We start from the raw sequence: 3,797 nt of genomic DNA, 5'->3' as shown, positions 1-3,797 counted from the left end.
TTATAATTATAGAAAAATTAAACTCAAATCTAAATATCTTATAGTGGGGGAAGTGGTGAATTCTTTCCTTCATAGGAAAATAACCAAAAATACCCATTTTCCAGGCAGATGACAGAAATTGCCAAAACCATTCCTATGTCCCCATCTGAGGTAAGAATGCATTGTCTGAGATCCTGGGGCCACAACAACAAAAGGTAGTGTAACAACTGAGTCACCATCTTCTATAGATGCAAAGAAATGCTTTAATTCTCAGCATTTCTGTGATACGTTTCTAAAATGAAGTCTTGGTCAGAAGTTCTAACTTATGAGAAAATGAATTTTAAACACTTGTTTCTTGCTGAACTCCGCCTGTGATACAAAGGGCTGACCTCTAAGGACTGAGGGGATCTTAGCCTCAGAATATTCCAACTCAAGCACACAGAAGAGTTCAATTCAACAACTTAGTGGCTGCCTACTACCGAACAGCAAGAATATGCCAAGCACTGAGCTCCGCACCCTGAAAGGGTAGTGAATAAGATATAAATTCATAGGCCAGGAAAGAAAGAAACACATAAAAAAATAATTGCAATACAAGACAGGATGTGCCGAGGCTAATGCAGGAACACACCAAGGAAAGAGAGATTCATTTTGACTGGTAAAATAGATGAAGGATTCATGGATTGGGGACCTAGGAAATAGCCCTCAAATATATCCCCTTCCCTCCATTTCCACCACCAAGTGAGGTATAACAAGACGGTAAAGGATACACTGCAAACATGCAGAGATGTCCTAGGGAAGAGGGGAGGTACAAAGTCAGGGAGGGAGTTGCAGGCAGGCCTAAACAGATGACCTCACTGTCACAAAGGACCAGATACAGCAAGAGAAGTTCACACCATACCTCATTGCTGACGAGGAACCAAATGACATTTTAAATAGAAGATTGACATTTTAAATAGAAGATTCACAAAATCTGATTTTTTAGAAAAGTCACTCTTGGGGATGAGTATTTGGGAAGGATGGTGGGGCTGAGGAATTAGAAGCATAGGGGCCACTTAGGAATGAAGACAGTTAGGAATGGACTTGCTAAGAGCCTGACATTCAGCAGCAGCTGGGAGACCGTTGCAGATTTATTATATTGAATCCAAAGCTGCCTCCAGGTAACTTTAATGAAGGTATTGTTCTGAAATTTTATTCAGCAAAAGAGAAGCTAATGTTTTATTGAGTTACACTTGATACTTCTTGGACAGGTCCTTAATATAGAAGAAAAATGCAAACCATAAAGTAGATACTTATGTTAATCATCTGGAAAGTTCAGCTCTCCAAATGTTTTTAACAATATGGCTGTTTCATGTGGAAAAATGGACTTTAGCGTGAAGTACCCATGGCATGTCTTAAAACTCAGTGAAGCCAATCCTGGGTCATTATTTTGTGGAAATACCTAACTTCAGTCATGCTACTCAGTCTTTAATTTCACACTGTACAAAACATGAAAGAGAGGGAGAGAGTGGGGGAATGGGAATGGAGGAGGAGAAGAAAAAAGAAGATAAAGAGGAAAAAAGAGGAGGAAAGAAAGAAACTAAGGGATAGAGACAGAGAGAGAGAAAGAGGGAGTGAGGAAGACAGAGAATGGACCGATGGACCAGGGAGCTAATATGAGAACAGAAGGCTTAGAAGAGCAAGGCAGAAGGTGAGGGTTTATGGGCTTGACATCAATGGCCATCTGAACACTTAAAAGTTTCCAATTGCTCAAATCGTCATCCAGCACATGCTACAGACTTGCCTGAAGAAGAAAAAGCTGATAAAGTGAGATTGTTTACCATGTTACTTGCCCTACTTCAGAGGATTTTATGTATGGCACAGTGTGGGGTCGGTGGCAATATGAACAGGTAAGATACCTTTACTCCACTACATAGAGTAAATTATTCTATTTTCCCCCCTTTCCATTCATACAGTAAGTACCCTACTGAGACATTTGTTACATTCCAGGGATAGTAGCAGTCTCTAGGAATAAAAATGAATGAATAAGGAAATGAAATAATGAATGAAGGAGCAAAAGAATGAATAAAATTACCCATTTTGCATGCCTCGCATTTGTTTTGCTTTGGTTCCATATCATTAGAAATGGAGTAAATCTCTGAAGAATCAGAATAGAACGAACTGACTGATCTTTGATTGTATGGCCTTATATAAGTAACCTAATGCCTTAGACTCTGCATTTTCTCATCTGTGAAATAGAGATAAGGAAACTTCCCTGCTCACCCCATAAGGTTATTGGGAAGACAAAAGGAGCCCATATGTAAGAAAATACTTTGTAATCACTAAAACACAGCATACGATACTATTATAATAAGGGAAACATCTCAAAGTTTAATTTGTGACCACTAAATGTAATTTAAATTAGAGGCTTGAAGTTCACCTTCTATTCTTTGAAGTGTCACTTTATTAAATTAATAATGTAAACAAGATGAGGGAGGGGAAGCAGGCATTTAAGCCACTTTACTTTTAACCACAATTGGTGTGCTAATTATGGATCTAATTTGGCTATTCACCAAAGCAAGGTCTTTAAGGACAATGCTATTCATCTTGTCCTAGGTAATTTGCATATTTGAAAGAAATGAAAATAAATTTCTTTTAAAAATAGACCAATTCAGATTTCTTTTATTTTAAGTTATCTTATTCACCAAAGATCCCTCATCCTCCACCCCCACCGGGGTAGCCTCATGAGGTTTGATAGGTAGGACTTCAGAAACAAAGATGGATGACCAGCAGTTCATTGACTCTACAATGAGAATTATCTGAGCACAGGAAGTTCAAGCGGGAAGTCTGGGGCATGAATCTTTGAGCAAGAATTCCCCTTGGGAGTAGAACAAGATGGCAAGGGTAAGAAAGCTGGCTCTCCTCTTAAGAAGACAGGGAGATTAGACTTGTGCATGTTTTTGCTTAACTTGTGGATAAAGTCTTACAGACAGGTGCAAAAAATAAATCCTCTTTTGCAACCCAGAACTCATTGTTCAGTATGAGTTTTGATACATATAAGAAAGGACATTTTCATACCTGAGACAGTTAACTAAGTGACGGGAGTTCTGATAACCATAAAGGTTGGTTCCAGGCCAGGCATAGTGGTTCACGCAAGCAATCCCCACACTTTGGGACACCAAGGTGGGAGGATTGCTTGAAGCTAGGAGTTCAAGACCAGCTTGGGCAAGAAAGCAACACCCCATCTCCATTAAAACTTAAAAATTAGGTGGGTGAATATTTTTCTTTATATATAAAATTTAAAAAATAAAATTTTAAGAAAAGAAGACAGGGAGAGAAAAAAACAGCATCTGGGGACCCATCACTGTGTACTCCCAGCATGAGAATGGTGACTAACTTTCTCCCACCAAGCCCACTTTCTAAGTGCTGTAACCCTGATACCCAGCCCTGGGGCCTGGCTGAAATTGCAGCCAGCAAGGCAGAAACAGCACAACCATGGGGCTGCAGATCTACCTGCTATGCCCCTTCCTGGACTGCTGGGTGCACTGGCTAATTCCATGTGAGTGGCATTTTCTAGGCTGTGAACCACTTGCCCTACATTATCTCATTTGATTCTTATCACAAGCCTCTTCTTCCTTGATGCACACATTGAACTTTGGTTAGAGTTGAAAGGAGATGTCTCAATTATGTAAGGGGAAGGATTTCTAGAGACCCTGTGTTCTTTCATTTTCTCTTATTGGGAGAGACATTTTATGAGAAACAGAGTGGTAGCATGGAAAAGGTCAAGAACCAAAAGTTGACTTGGGTTCTAGTAAAGCTGACCTCCAACTGACAGGCTTGAA

At 39.7% G+C, this 3,797-nt stretch overlaps 1 non-coding gene across 1 annotated transcript; it reads left to right on the top strand.

The window, feature by feature from the left end:
* Positions 1–2,898: 2,898 nt before the first annotated feature.
* Positions 2,899–3,026, top strand: LOC124900534 (small nucleolar RNA SNORA40). The gene has a single exon (XR_007088727.1). It is a non-coding gene; the product is annotated as a small nucleolar RNA SNORA40 (small nucleolar RNA).
* Positions 3,027–3,797: the final 771 nt, after the last annotated feature.

Source organism: Homo sapiens, chromosome 2, assembly GCF_000001405.40.
Source record: "Homo sapiens chromosome 2, GRCh38.p14 Primary Assembly".
NCBI lineage: Eukaryota > Metazoa > Chordata > Mammalia > Primates > Hominidae > Homo > Homo sapiens.
Note: the sequence above shows the minus strand (reverse complement) of the source record. Positions and strands in the feature narration are given on the sequence as shown.